Below are 20,576 nucleotides of genomic sequence, written 5' to 3' on the forward strand. Positions count from 1 at the left end.
GTCACATAATCAATAACTGACAGGATGGGAATTTGAACCCAAGCCTGTCCTGAAATAAAATCCACATTCATAACCATTAAGCTTCATTGCTTTACTTAATTCAACCAAAAGGAAGCTTGCATAATGTTTAAAACAATGTAAGTATAACTTTTAAATTCTTAGATCCACTTTATTTTCTAATACTTACTTAGCACTCTGCTGTTAAAAATATGTGGGTCCTACCCTCAAGAAACTTGCAAACAATCCCCCAATAGAGAATATATGTTAAATAAACTGAAACTGAGTGTGTATTAGCCTTAAAGATGAAAATAATTCATTGAAGGCCATTTTAGAATGGGTGGGAATAAAGTCGGTAAAGGCTTCACAGCAGACCTGAGATTAGCCTAACTCATCTCTGTTCAGGACTATCCTGGTTTTGGCACTGAGGGTCACACATTCCAGGAACTCCCTCAGTCTCAGATAAACTGGGTCAGTTGGTCACCCTACTGGTATTTAGGCTGGAAGAGTAGTATGTGGATGAACTATGATGTGTGAACAGGGAACCACATGACCTGGAAGAATATATTAATCTATATAGACACCAAGTTGGGAAGATGAATAGGTATAGAATATACCGGTATGATAAAATAAAATAAGTTTTAATATATTTGCAAATATTGAGCTGTGTGGTGATCACACATAGAGGATAGTCAGGTTCCATGTATTACCATAATCGGAAGTATCTTTGCACAAACCAAATCTGCTTCTTTCCAATTTGCTCATTCCTCAATAGTTATTGCATAATATAACCCCCCCAAACACACCCCCAATTATAAATTAACATATGTTCAGTGTTGAAAGCTCAGCAGGGATTGCCCCTCCTCCAAATCTTTCACATCCACAAATGTCATTATAATCACAATTATTTCTTCCAGCCTGCCCTCTTTATGGTCACAAACGAGTAAAATGGTCAATTATTTCCTCTGAAAAAATGAATGGTAGTCACACATCAGAGGGAAAATAGATGTTTGTGTGTGTGTGTGTGTGTGTGTGTATGTGTGTGAGCTCACACAGTGGACCCAGGGGAACTACACCTCTGGAATCCAAGCAGTTGTATTCTGCTGTTGTTGTTATCATCACATGTTTCTATCCAAGTCTGCCCTAGACTGAGTACAGTACTGGGGAGAGGAGCAGCCTTCCCTACACATTGGATATAACCAGGCTCAAAACTGTGGCAAACAACGCCTTGAAAGGGTCTTTGGACTAGCTCTGGCAAAAGTGGGACCTCCCTGCAGACCACCTAAGCCACTCAGATTTTGATAACGGTGGTGAGTGACGGCATGTGGCAGCAGTCATTTCAAACTGGCAGTGTTTCTGCAGCAATAGCAATGGAGCTTCACACGGTTACCAAGCTCTTCAACCTGGGGGAAGACCAGTAAACAGCCAGGGGAAAGAATCACAGATTTCATAAACAGTTCCAAGTTTCCAATAAATAGTTACTTGAAGAGCAGATTCCCATATTTTTTTAAAAAAATGGAATTCCCTACTTAAAAGTAGAATAAGGTGTCTTTTTTAATGAATGTATTTTTTTCATTATGAAATATTCTTATAAATATACTAATGATTTTTAACATAACAATCCATTATTCTACCACCACAAGGCAAAAGGTTTTTACTTTTTCATATTCTGAAGTTTTAATCATGTTATATCCTCAATTCTATTGCCTTCTGACTAAATACTGTTTTATAACCATTATTCATGTTGCTCTATGCTCTGTATGGATTTTACTGGAATATAATATTTTATCAACTATATTGATATAGCCCTCTTCTACCTAGTTATGCATGGGCTGTCTATCATTTTTGTTTGTCACACACATCTTCCCCATCTTCTGGTAACAGCACTTGCATTCTTTTGGGAATGCAAACTCTTCCCAACTCCACATGATCCTGATAGGGTTAGGACAAGAGATTATAGATTTACCCAGTGAATGGTAAAAATAATTAAATTTAAATATATGGTTCAACTATATATTTGTTTATTTATTACTTGGTTTTCTCTAGTAATTTATATCTGAAAGTGGGAGAAGGGGTAGTTTTTTATGTTAAAGAGTTAATATTATTGGTCCACTATGAATAGTCTTCAGCTTTGATATGTTTTACAACATTGAGGACAGGTTTTCAGTAATTCTTGATTTTTTTTTTTTTTTTTTTTTTTTTTTTGAGATGGAGTATTGCTCTGTTGCCCAGGCTGGAGTGCAGTGGCGCAATCTCAGCTCACTGCAACATCTGCCTCCCAGGTTCAAGCGATTCTTCTGCCTCAGCTTCCTGAGTAGCTGAGACTACAGGCGCATGCAACCACGCCCAGCTGAATTTTTTGTATTTTTAGTAGAGACGGTGTTTCACCATGTTAGCCAGGATGGTCTCAATCTCCTGACTTCATGATCCTCCCACCTTGGCCTCTCAAAGTGCTGGGATTACACCGCGCCCAGCCTCAGTAGTTCTTACACACTCTCAAACTCATCTTTCTTATAACAATTGATAGGTGTTTCATAGCTTGTTAGGTGTTGGAAAGGATGATTACATACCCTTGCAAAGCCAACTTGTCCCACATGGGAATTAAACCCACATAGTCAGTTTGCTAAACTGGTGCTGGAATGAAGGGTGTTAGGTTCCTTCAGCTTTCCAGAAACAGAGAGGCACACTTAGGCTTCAAGTGATAAGGCTTATTATCAAGATACATAGAAAGTTATGAAAGTAAATAAAACCACTCCTGCAGGGCACAAAAATTGGAAGGCCATTCATGGCTGTCAAGGATACACTAGTGACTTAATTCTAGTAGACTCCATGCTTTTTGACTCAGCACCTCCTATCTCCTTCTGTGTCTACCTGCCTCTTCTTCATACATCATTATTGCCTGATTTACCTCTATCCTCCCCCTTTCCTCATGGCTTCTGCTAACTTCCTCTATGTGTCTCCTCATTTCTATGCTAAATTACTTTCTTCAGTCTCTGTCTATATGACTTACGTTCAAATTCCTCAAAGAGTTTAATTTCATCACTACACAGGATAGGACACCCCTGTTGGGTAGAACTCTTATGTGAGGCAACCTCATGCTACTGGCAAGCCTGCATATGGGAAAGTACCTAGCAACGGCCCAGCTGGAGATAGGACAGCAGGATGCACAATGGAGGTACACAGGAGGTAGGGTAATATGGGCTGTCAGTGCCTTCCAAACAGGGAAAATATAATTGGGTGGGGACTTGCATGGCCTGTCTGGCACACTAAGATGAGCAGAGACACTATATATTGATTGATTTTTAAAGTATTCACTAAAATACATCATACAATTTAAATTTCTGTCAGAAGTGTTTAAATGTAACAACTGCTGAAACACTGCTCTGATTCTTTTGATTATTTTAATATTAGTTTTTCACTTCTAATCACAGAGGAATATAAGAATACAGTGCCATGATTGCAGGCCCAGTCTCTGGACCATCTGGCCCAACAGTCTATGTCAATGTTGGCCCAAAGAGATGTGGATCAAAAGGAAGGATTGTGCTCCTCGACAATCCTAAAGATGCCAATCTTGAGGGTGAAGAATTTAACACAAACAACTGCCAGCATGATAACCTGATCATCATAATACAGGAATTTATTACTCCCTCAAAATCCTCCCCATTTATTTCTGAGAGTCCTCAAAGTGGTACATTATAAATTTCTGAAAGTATCTCCTATGTCCCTATAAAAATATGTTGGTAAGAGTCACAGCTGTTTCCACTCTCTTCTCTCACTGCCTCTCTGCTGCCACGACCAGTCACAAGAACAATGAGGTCCATGCCAAGGTACTACCTCAGAGTGTTCCCAAAGATTCTAGTGCTTGGGGCCAGAAGAATCTAGTATAGGGATGATGAAAAGAGACACCTCTCCAACCCTGTCCTATTAAGTCACCGAAACTCTGAAGCAGCTCAACTTGTGGGTAGAGCCCTAAGGAGTCTTCTCTCAACAGTTCCATCAGCTTTTGGTCCTTACTTGCCCAATTATAGGGACTCTCATCCAGGCTAGGCAAGGTATAAATCATATATCATGCCCTCCATATTGACAATGATAGTAACAATACTAATAGCTAATGCCTACATAGCATTTATGTCAGACACTGTTCTAAGCATTTTATATATATTTATAATTTAATCCTCACAACAGCCCTGTATTATTATTCCCCTTTTCCAGATGAGTAAACCAAGGGCTTACGGTATTTGAACTTATGTCTACAATCTTGCTGTGATGATTAATTTTATGTATCAACTTGACTAGGCAACAGGATGCCCAGATATCTGAGGAAACATTATTTCTGGGTGTGTCTGTGAGGATGTTTCCAGAAGAGATTAGCATTTGAACTGGTGGACCAAGTAAAGCAGATGGCCCTCCCCAGGGCAGGTGGGCATCATTCAATCTGTTGAGGGCCTGATTAGACCGAAAAGGCAAAGAAGGTTGGAATCTGGCTTCCTCTGCCTTACTGCTTCAGCTAGGACATTAATCTTCCCTGTTCTGGTCACTCTTGTTTCTCAGGCCTTCAGACTCAGATTGGAAACTACAGCAATGGCCCTCTGTCTCTCAGGCCTTTGAACCACACCACTGGTTTTCCTGGGTCTCCAGCTTGTAGATGACTAATCATGAGACTTCACAGCCTCCATAATCGGGTGAGCCAACACCTTATCCTATGTACATATATAATATATAAACAAAATATGCAGTATATAGGCTGGACATGGGTGGCTTATGCCTGTAATCCCAGCACTTTGGGAGGCTGAGGTGGGAGGATTGCTGAAACAGGGAGTTCAAGATCAGCCTGGGCAACAGAGCAAGACCTCGTCTCTAAAAAAAATTACAAAAAATTTTAAAGTCAAATAAAATATTTATTTTTAAAGTATAAATTTAAAAATAAAATAAAATATTAAAACCTACTGGTTCTGTTTCTCTGGAGAACCCTAATATATTTGCTATTTGTTTTCTGTTTTACCTATCTGTTCTATGCTCTTTTTCACTTGTTGTCTTTGTTTAGATTAAAAAATAATTTTCCATTATTTAATTTCCCTTTCTATTAGGTTATAAGTTACACATTTGCTTAACTTTATTTTTACTGGTTATGCTAGCCATTACAATATGAATCCTTGTCCTATTAAAGTTTAACATGATTACTTACTCATTACTTTCCAGACAATGCACAAACCTTAAAACACATTATATCTGTTTATTGTTGCTTCCTAGGGCTGATGAACAATACCTTTGTTCCCATTTTCATGAATAGGTGCATCTGTCTTTCAGGGGTCCTAGCCTTATGCAGGGAGCTCAGCTCCAGAATATTCCTTGCTCGAGCTTGAGGTTTTGCATCCTGTCCTTCCTGTGCTTCTTGAGAACTATTAATTATATACATTTTACATTATAATTTATTTTAAGATCTACATTTTTAAGATCTACATTAAGATCTACACAGATATCTTTTCTAAAATTCAGTAAGTTGTATGATAGTTTTGCTGAATTTTGTCTTTCCCAACTGATACTAAATTTAATTTAGTGCTGTGGTTATTTTTACTCATTGGCCCATATGTAGTCTCCGTGAACAGGTATAGTTCCTTTGCATGTGAATTCCTAAACCAGTTGTTCTAGAAAATGGTCTTTTGTCCAAAGACAAAAACAAAAACAAAAAACAAAACACAACAAAACCCTCACCTTCTCCTCACCTACTGTTGAGATTTTCTATAACATTCTGGAACCTGGGCTAATTTTATAACATAGATTTTCTTTTTAATATTTCTGACAGATTGATCATCTTGTCCTGGAAGTGTATATGTCTCTACTGCAAATTTTTCATTACATCTGTAAATAACTCACATATAAACAGACAAAGTAGTTCCTTTTTCAGTATGATTTCTATGCCAACCCCACATGAAGGAATGTGCTTCCTCCCTGTGCATCCACACCTGCCCTGGATGATTTGATAGCCAGAATTACTATATCTCATTGGTTATTTCCTATCATATAAAATGCTAGCCTTTAATTTCTGTCAAACATTTCAATTTATCATTGCATTATTTAATCTTTTGCCATGATATAGAAGCATTCTTTTTAAGCCTGAAGTTTAAATTCCACTAAAATGGATTAATACAAGAACATTAATCATATTACCTCATAAGTACACTTCCTTTAAAAATCTATTTATATATCTAACCTACCTACCTACCATTTACTTCTCCATCCATTATTAGTTGTACATCTATTGAAGCACAACAAACTACCACAAAATTAGTGGCTTAAAATAACATCTATTTATGAGCACACTATTTCTGTAGGTCCAGAGTCTGGGCAAAGCTTAGCTGGATCCTCTGTTCAGAATCTCACAGAGCTGAAATCAAGGTGTCAGCTGGGGCTGCAGTCTCATCTGATGCTCAGGGTCCTCTTCCAAGCTCATTCAGGTTGGTGCCAGAATTCAGTTCTTGACTGCTATAGAACTTATACTGACTATCATCTTTTTTGAGGCCAGGAATAGCTTAGCTTTCTAAGTTATCAATCTATGATCGCTATCATTTAAGAGTTTATCTGATTAGGTCAGGCACACCCAGAATAATCTCCCTTTTAATTAACTTAAAGATAACTGATTATGTCACTTAACGACATCTGCAGAAATCTTTTCTCTTTTGCCATATAATGAAACTTAATCATGATGGTGATATCTCATTATATTTACAGGTCCTAAAGATCTTAAACATGGTGGAATTTACAACCCTCTTGATATTTCAGGGTAGCATTTAATTATGCTTACTCTCTGAGATTTTCATTAAATCTAGTTTACAATTTTTGCTTCACAAAGCAACAACTAAGTAATCTTTAAGGTCTAAAAATATAAGAAAATATTCTTAGGAAGGAGTACAGAAAAAAACAGGTAAGTAGACCATAAGAATTAAGGAGATGACTACAGATTTGACAAGAACAATTTTTCTCATTTCCTCTCCTTAATGGCATTAGTAAACCTTAGTGACTTTTTATAGCAATTTGAAGAAAACTCCTAGTAAAATCATACTTCTTGGTCTCACATTCAACAATTTCTACCAAGTGGTGCTGCTCATTACTCCCCTGTAATATCCCTCAGCTATAACTACACCACATTGCCTTCCATAGTTCCTATTTGCATACCCTTTTTTTTTTTTTTTTTTTTTTTTTTTTTGAGACAGAGTCTCGCTCTGTCACCCAGGCTGGAGTACAGTGGTACAGTCTCGGCTCACTGGTACAGTCTCGGCTCACTGCAAGCTCCACCTCCCAGGTTCACGCCATCCTCCTGCCTCAGCCTCCCGAGTAGCTGAGACTACAGGTGCACGCTGCCATGCCCGGCTAATTTTTTGTATTTTTAGTAGAGAGGGGGTTTCACCGTGTTAGCCAGGATGGTCTCGATCTCCTGACCTTGTGATCCGCCCACCTGGGCCTCCCAAATTGCTGGGATTACAGGCGTGAGCCACCATGCCCGGCCATCTGCATACCTTTTTTTTTTTTTTTTTTTTTATTAAACTCTAAGTTTTAGGGTACATGTGCATATTGTGCAGGTTAGTTACATATGTATACATGTGCCATGCTGGTGCGCTGCACCCACTAATGTGTCATCTAGCATTAGGTATATCTCCCAATGCTATCCCTCTCCCCTCCCCCGACCCCACCACAGTCCCCAGAGTGTGATATTCCCCTTCCTGTGTCCATGTGATCTCATTGTTCAATTCCCACCTATGAGTGAGAATATGCGGTGTTTGGTTTTTTGTTCTTGCAATAGTTTACTGAGAATGATGGTTTCCAATTTCATCCATGTCCCTACAAAGGATATGAACTCATCATTTTTTATGGCTGCATAGTATTCCACGGTGTATATGTGCCACATTTTCTTAATCCATCTATCATTGTTGGACATTTCGGTTGGTTCCAAGTCTTTGCTATTGTGAATAGTGCCGCAATAAACATACGTGTGCATGTGTCTTTATAGCAGCATGATTTATAGTCCTTTGGGTATATACCCAGTAATGGGATGGCTGGGTCAAATGGTATTTCTAGTTCTAGATCCCTGAGGAATCGCCACACTGACTTCCACAATGGTTGAACTAGTTTACAGTCCCACCAACAGTGTAAAAGTGTTCCTATTTCTCCACATCCTCTCCAGCACCTGTTGTTTCCTGACTTTGTAATGATTGCCATTCTAACTGGTGTGAAATGATATCTCATAGTGGTTTTGATTTGCATTTCTCTGATGGCCAGTGATGATGAGCATTTCTTCATGTGTTTTTTGGCTGCATAAATGTCTTCTTTTGAGAAGTGTCTGTTCATGTCCTTCGCCCACTTTTTGATGGGGTTGTTTGTTTTTTTCTTGTAAATTTGTTTGAGTTCATTGTAGATTCTGGATATTAGCCCTTTGTCAGATGAGTAGGTTGCGAAAATTTTCTCCCATGTTGTAGGTTGCCTGTTCACTCTGATGGTAGTTTCTTTTGCTGTGCAGAAGCTCTTTAGTTTAATTAGATCCCATTTGTCAATTTTGGCTTTTGTTGCCATTGCTTTTGGTGTTTTGGACATGAAGTCCTTGCCCACGCCTATGTCCTGAATGGTAATGCCTAGGTTTTCTTCTAGGGTTTTTATGGTTTTAGGTCTAACGTTTAAATCTTTAATCCATCTTGAATTGATTTTTGTATAAGGTGTAAGGAAGGGATCCAGTTTCAGCTTTCTACATATGGCTAGCCAGTTTTCCCAGCACCATTTATTAAATAGGGAATCCTTTCCCCATTGCTTGTTTTTCTCAGGTTTGTCAAAGATCAGATAGTTGTAGATATGCGGCATTATTTCTGAGGGCTCTGTTCTGTTCCATTGATCTATATTTCTGTTTTGGTACCAGTATCATGCTGTTTTGGTTACTGTAGCCTTGTAGTATAGTTTGAAGTCAGGTAGTGTGATGCCTCCAGCTTTGTTCTTTTGGCTTAGGATTGACTTGGCAATGCGGGCTCTTTTTTGGTTCCATATGAACTTTAAAGTAGTTTTTTCCAATTCTGTGAAGAAAGTCATTGGTAGCTTGATGGGGATGGCATTGAATCTGTAAATTACCTTGGGCAGTATGGCCATTTTCACGATATTGATTCTTCCTACCCATGAGCATGGAATGTTCTTCCATTTGTTTGTGTCCTCTTTTATTTCCTTGAGCAGTGGTTTGTAGTTCTCCTTGAAGAGGTCCTTCACATCCCTTGTAAGTTGGATTCCTAGGTATTTTATTCTCTTTGAAGCAATTGTGAATGGGAGTTCACCCATGATTTGGCTCTCTGTTTGTCTGTTGTTGGTGTATAAGAATGCTTGTGATTCTTGTACATTGATTTTGTATCCTGAGACTTTGCTGAAGTTGCTTATCAGCTTAAGGAGATTTTGGGCTGAAACGATGGGGTTTTCTAGATAAACAATCATGTCGTCTGCAAACAGGGACAATTTGACTTCCTCTTTTCCTAATTGAATACCCTTTATTTCCTTCTCCTGCCTGATTGCCCTGGCCAGAACTTCCAACACTATGTTGAATAGGAGCGGTGAGAGAGGGCATCTCTGTCTTGTGCCAGTTTTCAAAGGGAATGCTTCCAGTTTTTGCCCATTCAGTATGATATTGGCTGTGGGTTTGTCATAGATAGCTCTTATTATTTTGAGATACGTCCCATCAATACCTAATTTATTGAGAGTTTTTAGCATGAAGGGTTGTTGAATTTTGTCAAAGGCTTTTTTTGCATCTATTGAGATAATCATGTGGTTTTTGTCTTTGGCTCTGTTTATATGCTGGATTACATTTATTGATTTGCGTATATTGAACCAGCCTTGCATCCCAGGGATGAAGCCCACTTGATCATGGTGGATAAGCTTTTTGATGTGCTGCTGGATTCGGTTTGCCAGTATTTTATTGAGGATTTTTGCATCAATGTTCATCAAGGATATTGGTCTAAAATTCTCTTTTTTGGTTGTGTCTCTGCCCAGCTTTGGTATCAGAATGATGCTGGCCTCATAAAATGAGTTAGGGAGGATTCCCTCTTTTTCTATTGATTGGAATAGTTTCAGAAGGAATGGTACCAGTTCCTCCTTGTACCTCTGGTAGAATTCGGCTGTGAATCCATCTGGTCCTGGACTCTTTTTGGTTGGTAAACTATTGATTATTGCCACAATTTCAGAGCCTGTTATTGGTCTATTCAGAGATTCAACTTCTTCCTGGTTTAGTCTTGGGAGAGTGTATGTGTCGAGGAATGTATCCATTTCTTCTAGATTTTCTAGTTTATTTGCGTAGAGGTGTTTGTAGTATTCTCTGATGGTAGTTTGTATTTCTGTGGGATCGGTGGTGATATCCCCTTTATCATTTTTTATTGTGTCTATTTGATTCTTCTCTCTTTTTTTCTTTATTAGTCTTGCTAGCGGTCTATCAATTTTGTTGATCCTTTCAAAAAACCAGCTCCTGGATTCATTGATTTTTTGAAGGGTTTTTTGTGTCTCTATTTCCTTCAGTTCTGCTCTGATTTTAGTTATTTCTTGCCTTCTGCTAGCTTTTCAATGTGTTTGCTCTTGCTTTTCTAGTTCTTTTAATTGTGATGTTAGGGTGTCAATTTTGGATCTTTCCTGCTTTCTCTTGTAGGCATTTAGTGCTATAAATTTCCCTCTACACACTGTTTTGAACGCGTCCCAGAGATTCTGGTATGTGGTGTCTTTGTTCTCGTTGGTTTCAAAGAACATCTTTATTTCTGCCTTCATTTCGTTATGTACCCAGTAGTCATTCAGGAGCAAGTTGTTCAGTTTCCATGTAGTTGAGCGGCTTTGAGTGAGATTCTTAATCCTGAGTTCTAGTTTGATTGCACTGTGGTCTGAGAGATAGTTTGTTATAATTTCTGTTCTTTTACATTTGCTGAGGAGAGCTTTACTTCCAACTATGTGGTCAATTTTGGAATAGGTGTGGTGTGGTGCTGAAAAAAATGTATATTCTGTTGATTTGGGGTGGAGAGTTCTGTAGATGTCTATTAGGTCTGCTTGGTGCAGAGCTGAGTTCAATTCCTGGGTATCCTTGTTGACTTTCTGTCTCGTTGATCTGTCTAATGTTGACAGTGGGGTGTTAAAGTCTCCCATTATTAATGTGTGGGAGTCTAAGTCTCTTTGTAGGTCACTGAGGACTTGCTTTATGAATCTGGGTGCTCCTGTATTGGGTGCATAAATATTTAGGATAGTTAGCTCCTCTTGTTGAGTTGATCCCTTTACCATTATGTAATGGCCTTGTCTCTTTTGATCTTTGTTGGTTTAAAGTCTGTTTTATCAGAGACTAGGATTGCAACCCCTGCCTTTTTTTGTTTTCCATTGGCTTGGTAGATCTTCCTCCATCCTTTTATTTTGAGCCTATGTGTGCCTCTGCACGTGAGATGGGTTTCCTGAATACAGCACACTGATGGGTCTTGACTCTTTATCCAACTTGCCAGTCTGTGTCTTTTAATTGCAGAATTTAGTCCATTTATATTTAAAGTTAATATTGTTATGTGTGAATTTGATCCTGTCATTATGATGTTAGCTGGTGATTTTGCTCATTAGTTGATGCAGTTTCTTCCTAGTCTTGATGGTCTTTACATTTTGGCATGATTTTGCAGCGGCTGGTACTGGTTGTTCCTTTCCATGTTTAGCACTTCCTTCAGGAGCTCTTTTAGGGCAGGCCTGGTGGTGACAAAATCTCTCAGCATTTGCTTGTCTATAAAGTATTTTATTTCTCCTTCACTTATGAAGCTTAGTTTGGCTGGATATGAAATTCTGGGTTGAAAATTCTTTTCTTTAAGAATGTTGAATATTGGCCCCCACTCTCTTCTGGCTTGTAGGGTTTCTGCCGAGAGATCCGCTGTTAGTCTGATGGGCTTTCCTTTGAGGGTAACCCGACCTTTCTCTCTGGCTGCCCTTAACATTTTTTCCTTCATTTCAACTTTGGTGAATCTGACAATTATGTGTCTTGGACTTGCTCTTCTCGAGGAGTATCTTTGTGGCGTTCTCTGTATTTCCTGAATCTGAACGTTGGCCTGCCTTGCTAGATTGGGGAAGTTCTCCTGGATAATATCCTGCAGAGTGTTTTCCAACTTGGTTCCATTCTCCACATCACTTTCAGGTACACCAATCAGACGTAGATTTGGTCTTTTCACATAGTCCCATATTTCTTGGAGGCTTTGCTCATTTCTTTTTATTCTTTTTTCTCTAAACTTCCCTTCTCGCTTCATTTCATTCATTTCATCTTCCATTGCTGATACCCTTTCTTCCAGTTGATCGCATCGGCTCCTGAGGCTTCTGCATTCTTCACGTAGTTCTCGAGCCTTGGTTTTCAGCTCCATCAGCTCCTTTAAGCACTTCTCTGTATTGGTTATTCTAGTTATACATTCTTCTAAATTTTTTTCAAAGTTTTCAACTTCTTTGCCTTTGGTTTGAATGTCCTCCCGTAGCTCAGAGTAATTTGATCGTCTGAAGTCTTCTTCTCTCAGCTCGTCAAAATCATTCTCCATCCAGCTTTGTTCTGTTGCTGGTGAGGAACTGCGTTCCTTTGGAGGAGGAGAGGCGCTCTGCATTTTAGAGTTTCCAGTTTTTCTGTTCTGTTTTTTCCCCATCTTTGTGGTTTTATCTACTTTTGGTCTTTGATGATGGTGATGTACAGATGGGTTTTCGGTGTAGATGTCCTTTCTGGTTGTTAGTTTTCCTTCTAACAGACAGGACCCTCAGCTGCAGGTCTGTTGGAATACCCTGCCGTGTGAGGTGTCAGTGTGCCCCTGCTGGGGGGTGCCTCCCAGTTAGGCTGCTCGGGGGTCAGGGGTCAGGGACCCACTTGAGGAGGCAGTCTGCCCGTTCTCAGATCTCCAGCTGCGTGCTGGGAGAACCACTGCTCTCTTCAAAGCTGTCAGACAGGGACACTTAAGTCTGCAGAGGTTACTGCTGTCTTTTTGTTTGTCTGTGCCCTGCCCCCAGAGGTGGAGCCTACAGAGGCAGGCAGGCCTCCTTGAGCTGTGGTGGGCTCCACCCAGTTCGAGCTTCCCGGCTGCTTTGTTTACCTAAGCAAGCCTGGGCAATGGCGGGCGCCCCTCCCCCAGCCTCGTTGCCGCCTTGCAGTTTGATCTCAGACTGCTGTGCTAGCAATCAGCGAGATTCCGTGGGCGTAGGACCCTCTGAGCCAGGTGTGGGATATAGTCTCGTGGTGCGCCGTTTCTTAAGCCGGTCTGAAAAGCGCAATATTCGGGTGGGAGTGACCCGATTTTCCAGGTGCGTCCGTCACCCCTTTCTTTGACTTGGAAAGGGAACTCCCTGACCCCTTGCGCTTCCCAGGTGAGGCAATGCCTCGCCCAGCTTCGGCTCGCGCACGGTGCACACACACACTGGCCTGCGCCCACTGTCTTGCACTCCCTAGTGAGATGAACCCGGTACCTCAGATGGAAATGCAGAAATCACCCGTCTTCTGCGTCGCTCACGCTGGGAGCTGTAGACCGGAGCTGTTCCTATTCGGCCATCTTGGCTCCTCCCCGCCCTGCATACCTTTTTACCAATTGTGTTCACTCAGCTAATCTATACCTATTACTGTACTCCCTTCAAAAAATAAATATTTAATAAATGTTGATCTCAACTCAGAACTTACATTTTCTAGAAACTCTTTCATAATAATATTAATTGTCAGGTGAAAGAGAGAACTATTAAATAGTTACACATATAAATTTACAATTACTGATCACGATTAGCTCTGAAGAAAAAGCCCTGGTTACTGAAGGGAAAAATTCCAGGGGTTAGGGTCATGGAAAAGGCCTCACCAAAACTGTTTAGGATGACAAGACACCTAAGAGAAGTTAATTCTGTCAGATCATAGTTATTCCTTATTCTAAATCATTTTCCCAGGCCCTTTGTATAAATTGATGTCCTGTTTTGCATATTGCCATGTTTGCTTTGTTATCGGTTATATGATTTAAGATGATTTCAGATCCCACTCTGCAAGAGTAAGATCCTTGTTTTACATCTGCTACATTTCCACAGGAACTCAATCAGTGGTCGATATGCAGGAATTATTCTTTGATAATTATGACAGCGTGCAAAAATGTATCCAAATACCACTGAAAAGAAACAAACACAATTTAAGAAATAAAATAAAAGAAAGCTGAAGCCAAGAGTTATGTCAGGTAATGTTGATTATCTATGTAAGTCATTTCCCCCATTTCTTCTTAGATAAAGTCTCGGTTATTTTTAAGAATTCATCTTCCTTATATGTCCATGGAAAGTATCCTACGATCAGCTCCAGTGAGTAAATCTTCAATGGTCTAAAGCCAATGATGGTAATTTCATTTCCCTTGACCCTGGCAGGTTAAGTAATCTGCTTGTGATCTAATTTTGGCCAATGAGACATAAAAAATCTTTTACAGAAAGGTTATTTGCCCTAATGAAAAAGAGATACAAGTGATCAAACATCCATCTTCTTTACTCGGACATTGTTGAGTGAACATGTGATGAGCCATCTTGCAAGCAGGAGGGGTCAAGCCAAAGGATCTAGCCAATATTCTGAGGATGGCAGAGGCAAAGACACAATGAGCCAGACTTTTTGATAACACTGCTGAACTGCTGAATTTAACCCTAAAATTGCTCTCTCTCTGAATTCTTCTTATGTGAAATAATGAATGTTCCTCATTTTTAAAGTAACTTTCAGTTGAATTTTGTTACTTTCCACTGATAGTGGCCTAACATATAATCAGCTTTCCACTACTGCATTAAATGTAATGGACATGTAGTATAATGTAACTGACAATCCGAATTACTTTTGCTTTATTTTTAGTTTTATTAAACACCTTTACTAATGTTGAATTAATTTCAAAATAAGGTAAAATATAAATTATCTGCTATTTTCTAAAAATTCTACTTTTATTTAATCAGGAACGTTTCACTGGAAATTTCAGTATAAGCATAAAATGACATGGAGTTTTTATTTTCCCTCTTTATGAAACACAAAACATCCTTGCTATTTTTAGATTTCTATGGCATAAATTTGCATGTGGCTAATAATTCTATTCTTAAGCAGGAAACGCGGCTACTTTGACAGACCCTGGCTCAAAAACAAACATGCAGGTATAAGTTATCACACAATTTGGATGTGAATTCAACAGCAGGATAATGAAATGACAGTTGCCAAGGATTTGTACTTGCTGTCGCTTCATATTCGTGTTGCCTGTCAAAATGTCTCTTTTTCTTATACAGAAGCCATAGAATTTTTATGGATAGCAATTACTTACAATATGAAATGAAGTACATCAAATCTAACAACCACTCTTTAGCCCTTCATTATTTGGTAGTCTCTTTGTTAAATGCAGTCAACCATTTTCATCTAAATTATTTATTTATAGTGTATATTTGACAAGCATATATTTCTTGCTTTATATTTTTATGGCATTTAAACCTTCCTGAAGAGTTTTTTTTTAATATTATCATTTGTAAAACTTATCTTTATTATAGTACCATTTTAATGGTAATTAAGCTCTTGAATTGAAATATATACAAATAAACTATAAACACAAAGGGAAATGACCATAAGTATGTTCAATAATGAATCATCAGTTTAAAATACTGGAATGCAACCAATAAAAGAAATAACCCCACTTATGTTTGGTGAATGTAAGCTTTTATAAAATCTCTTAAGTACACAAAGCACAAAGTTTTTATTAAACTTCATCCTGCCCTTTCTCCAACTTGCTTAAACTTCCAAAGATACAAATAACTTTCTCCAATTGCTAGATTCTGTGATAAAATACAATTTAAACATCATAGAAAATGAGTAATAAAAGTAAAAAATTCCCCAAAAGTTTTACTTCCAATTCCAGAAGAAAATGTAATTCTAGTTTGGCCTAAAAATGTGTATAAGGGTTTTTCCAACTGCAGAGCAATTTCAGGATATTTTATAACACATAACAAATTTTTACTTGCAACTCAATGATTGAATAATAACCAAAACGTTATGTTCAAACTACATATATACTACATAGAATATATTCAATAAGTGTTTGTTAAGTTAAACTTGTTTACTTTGCAGAAGAAAAACTTCTAAAGAAGAAGAACAATTTCCAAGATTCATAAAGACACATCTGAGCATAGCATCGGGGGCATAAATCATTCCACCCAAAGGAAAAAAAAAAGGTTTTTTACTTGTGTAAAAGTATACAGGAATAAAAATAAGGCATATGTGAAATTTAAAACTGGGGGGCTTATAAATATTATATACAACTTTTCCAGAAGAAATTTAAATTTTCAAAAAGAAACAATGATCTAGTCTTTTAACATTTTATAAAGAAAATATTATATTTATATGTAGATCTGCAGAAATATTTGTAAAGGCTTGAAGGAAAAAATCTGGAAAAAAATTATGAACTGGAGAAAATATAATTTCTTGGGTAGCAGGAGTCTAAAACAGTGAAGGTGTGACCATGCTTCATTCACTATTGCTGTTTTCTTCTCACTCCCTTCTGTCACTCATTCCACGGTGGGAATCGACAGTTCATTTTTGGAATGCTGAAGTTGCTAAACTTAAACTGTCCATAGAAAAGGCAATGTTTATATTTCAAAAATGTTTATATTTCAAAAAGGATCTAAGATTCATTCCAAGTAAAAAGTACCCAAGAGAAATTACATTAAATAGTGATTGAATAGATTAGGTGTCTGTTAGTATCCTTGAAAGCAAGATTTGCTTGTGAAAAAGTAACCTAGATAATGTACAACAAAAAAATGGTTAGTATTTACTTTTTAAAAACTGATTTCAGTTCTCATTTATTTTACTAAAAGTAATTTTCCTCCTCAGGGAATTGTAAGAGTTGGTAATGTACTGAGCTGCCAGCAGGATAAAAAATACTATAACTTCCCATTATAAAAATCATTAAATCACATTCCTTAGATGATAATTGGTTGAAAATCATTAAAACAACATATTTTACATTGAGATGGAAAAATATACTAATTGTTTACAACATTCTCCTCATGTAAAAATGCAATTGTAATTTGGAGATCTTCCACTCCAGCATTTGGAGTGCTGGATATGAATATGGTGAAACTATGCCTGGATACCTGTTACTAATAAATAACTGATTCTGTCATCCATGTCTCCAAGGCTATTGCCCAATTCTGGGTCACTTGGGAATGCATCAGACTACAGCTGAGCAAGAAAAGTTTACTATTGTGCTACTTTCCTGGAAGTAGCCACAGAAATGAGGCTACATTTTTTTAGTCACATGACCTCCAAATGGTGAGTCATAAAATAAGAGGATGAAACCTTTGGTATAATAAGCTGAAAACATTTATAATGTTGGTGTTAGTTTTCTTGTGAGGGGGCATGTCCTGGTACAGAGGTTTTCACTGTGTTATAAGCAAATGCAGCATGGAGTGACAGCAGAGGAAACACATGGAAAGAAAGAACAGAGGGAAGGACAGTGGATAATGTAAATATAATGAAAAGTAAACTGATAGCATCAGATAGTAACAAGAAAATAAAGTGGTCACTGTATGGCTACTTTGAATGGACTTAATATATATACATATATATGTAGGCATATTTTGTAAAAAGTACAGTGTATTAATTAATGAAGAAATGCAGAATCTCTGTGATACAAGTAGGAAAAACAAATTGACTATATTTTAATAATTACTTCTCATAAAAAGACCACAAGATGGTAGAAGAAAGGTGGCAAGGAAAACAAGAATGAGACAAAAGAAGTTTTAACCTCAATCAGGGGGGAAATGTCTTTACTCATAGAGAAAATTGCCTCTCTCTGATAATCATATTAATACCAATGGCTCTTAAATTACCATTAGCCTTTATGAACTTGACCCCTTTCAGATTGAAACTCATCATTTTCTTTTTCATGAAGGTAAAAGACCTCAGAGCATTGTCTACAGCTTTCCATTTGATTGCCAAGAAGAGGGTTACTTCATTTTCTTGGTTTATCATAATCAAAGTTGATGGTAACAGGCAATAGTGACAGAAAAGAAGTTAGGATTCAAACAAAGAAACAAAAGAAGCACATTGAAACAAAAACTAGAAAAAACAGCGGTAGGAAAGTGTCACATGAGAAGAAAGACTGACATATAATGAAAAGGACAAATAAAGCCAGTGTTAAACCGACTAACAATCAAAGAAAGCAAATAGGAAAAAAGCAGGAACAGAGCGAATAAGTGAAAATACGTTTAGCTTTACCATAAAAAAAATAAAGTAGCTAAAAATGCACAAAAATAGTTAGAATAAAAAGTGAATGTATCACCATTTTGAAGTAGAAAATTGGAAATAAATATTAAAGGCAATAAAAATATGTGTAAGTACACATTATATTAGAATTGGCATTTGTATAAAGGAACATTTAATCCTATTTAGAAATTTTTTTATAATAAGTCATGAGTGACTTATGTCCCTACAATATAACACACAGGGTATTCATTTTTTTAAAAGCTGCACTGTATAAAGGATCTCATATACTGCTAATATGCACTTATAGCTGAGAGGAATAAAGCAAAACGAATTAGCTGAAAGTCAAGGTTTCACTTTCATCTTAACCTAGTGACACACAAACAAAAATAAGCAAACATTCAAACTGATCTAGGAAATAAATATGATCTAACATTTCCATAAGAAGATTAACATAATCTTTAATTTATGAATAATATATTGATTTTCTTATAGTCTCAGTTTTCTATTTAACATAAAGACTAGGGCATCACACTCAGACAGCCAATAGTTTATCAATGTATGACAAATATCTTTTAGTTCTTTCACTTTCTAACAGAGAAAAAGCACAGGAAGAATACCGTCTCCTCTGCTTTACAGTTCTGATAAATGCTGTAGTGTTAGACCCATTTGAGTTCATACCATACCTTCTTTATTACTACTTACTAGTTGTGTAAGCTTAGTCAAGTTAATAAACCTCTCTCTGCCTTTGTTTCCTCATAGGTAAAACAAAGGTATTGAGACTATCATCTGTCTTATATTCCTCCTAGTGTTTTGTTTTGTTTTGTTTTTTAGACAGAGTTTCGCTCTTGTTACCCAGGCTGGAGTGCAATGGCGCGATCTTGGCTCACCGCAACCTCCAGCTCCCGGGTTCAAGCGATTCTCCTGCCTCAGCCTCCCGAGTAGCTGGGATTACAGGCATACACCACCAAGCCCTGCTAATTTTTTGTATTTTCAGTAGAGATGGGGTTTCACCATGTTGGTCAGGCTGGTCTCAAACTCCCGACCTCAGGTGATCTGCCCGCCTCAGTCTTCCAAAGTGCTGGGATTACAGGCGTGAGTAACTGCACCCAGCCTCTAGTATTGTTTTGAGAACAAAATTGATATAATGCAGGTTAAGTGCTAAGCATGGTGACTGGCACCTAACAAGTACTACCTGCCATTATCGTTATTATCATTATGATACCTGTTCAAGTCAGATCCCAGAGATAATTTACATTTATTGCATCATCTACATTTTTTCTTCCCACAAAGTAGAAAAAAGGAAGGGCTCTACTCTAAGCAACAACCTCCATAACTCAACACATCTCAAAGTTACTTATTTATATCACCTGTACTCAAACATTTTTTTTTAGACAGAGTCTCACTCTGTCGCCCAGGCTAGAGTCAAGTGGCATGATCTCAGCTCACTGCAACCTCCACCTCCTAGGATCAAGCGATTCTCCTGCCTTAGCCTTCCGAGTAGCTGAGATTACAGGTTCCCATGACCATGTCCGGCTAATTTTTTCGTATTTTTAGTAGAGACAGGGTTTCACCATGTTGGCCAGGCTGGTCTCGAACTTCTAACCTCAAGTGATCCACCTGCCTCGGCCTCCCAAAGTGCTGGGATTACAGGCATGAGCCACCTGGCCCGGCCAAGACTGATTGAAAATTTAAACTACTTTCTATAAACACTTTTATCCCCTTCAGTATTTAGTTTAAGCTGCTGAAATAATGTTCTTACCTTGGTAAATCATTCAAAATATATTTGTAAATTGGGTTTACAGTATTCCCATCCAAAGTGCCTTCAGGGCTACTTTGCTGTAATACTTCCATTGCTTCAGTCAAGAGGGATAAGGAAGACTGAGATAGTGCTTCTCTGTGATCTTCTGCTCCTGTTTTTGCCATTTTCAGCTAAAAATGATAAAGAATGTTATTTAATTTTAAATGTAAAATCCTACTAGATTACAAATAGAGGCTGGGCATTAAACACAACTTACTTGTCATCATGTGATTCTAGACCATATAGCAATGATTAAATGTGAAATTCCCTTAGTAATTAACAGATGAGAGCTTAAAGAAAGAAAAAAAATATGAATCTAAGTCTACAATTGGTATAATACTGTTTAAGAATGAAAAAAATGGGCCGGGTTCAGTGGCTCACACCTGTAATCCCAGCACTTTGGGAGGCCAAGGCGGGCGGATCACAAGGTCAGGAGATAGAGACCATCCTGGCTAACACAGTGAAACCCCGTCTCTACTAAAAATACAAAATAAATAAATAAATTAGCCGGGTGTGGTGGTGGCAGGTGCCTGTAGTCCCAGCTACTTGGGAGGC

At 38.0% G+C, this 20,576-nt stretch overlaps 1 protein-coding gene across 22 annotated transcripts in view; it reads right to left on the minus strand.

The window, feature by feature from the left end:
• The window catches only part of DCDC1 (doublecortin domain containing 1), a 506,137-nt gene that overhangs the window by 444,532 nt on the left and 41,029 nt on the right, over positions 1-20,576 (minus strand). For all 22 annotated transcript variants that reach the window (NR_170625.1, XR_002957144.2, XR_002957145.2 and 19 more), the window contains one exon: positions 19,983-20,152. Coding sequence is in view for 19 of the 22 variants with exons in the window: in XM_024448478.2 (XP_024304246.1) it covers positions 19,983-20,146 (164 nt within the window). In the remaining 3 variants the exon portion in view is untranslated. The remainder of the gene's footprint in view (positions 1-19,982; positions 20,153-20,576) is intronic.

This window comes from Homo sapiens, chromosome 11 (genome assembly GCF_000001405.40).
Source record: "Homo sapiens chromosome 11, GRCh38.p14 Primary Assembly".
Classification (NCBI taxonomy): Eukaryota; Metazoa; Chordata; class Mammalia; order Primates; family Hominidae; genus Homo; species Homo sapiens.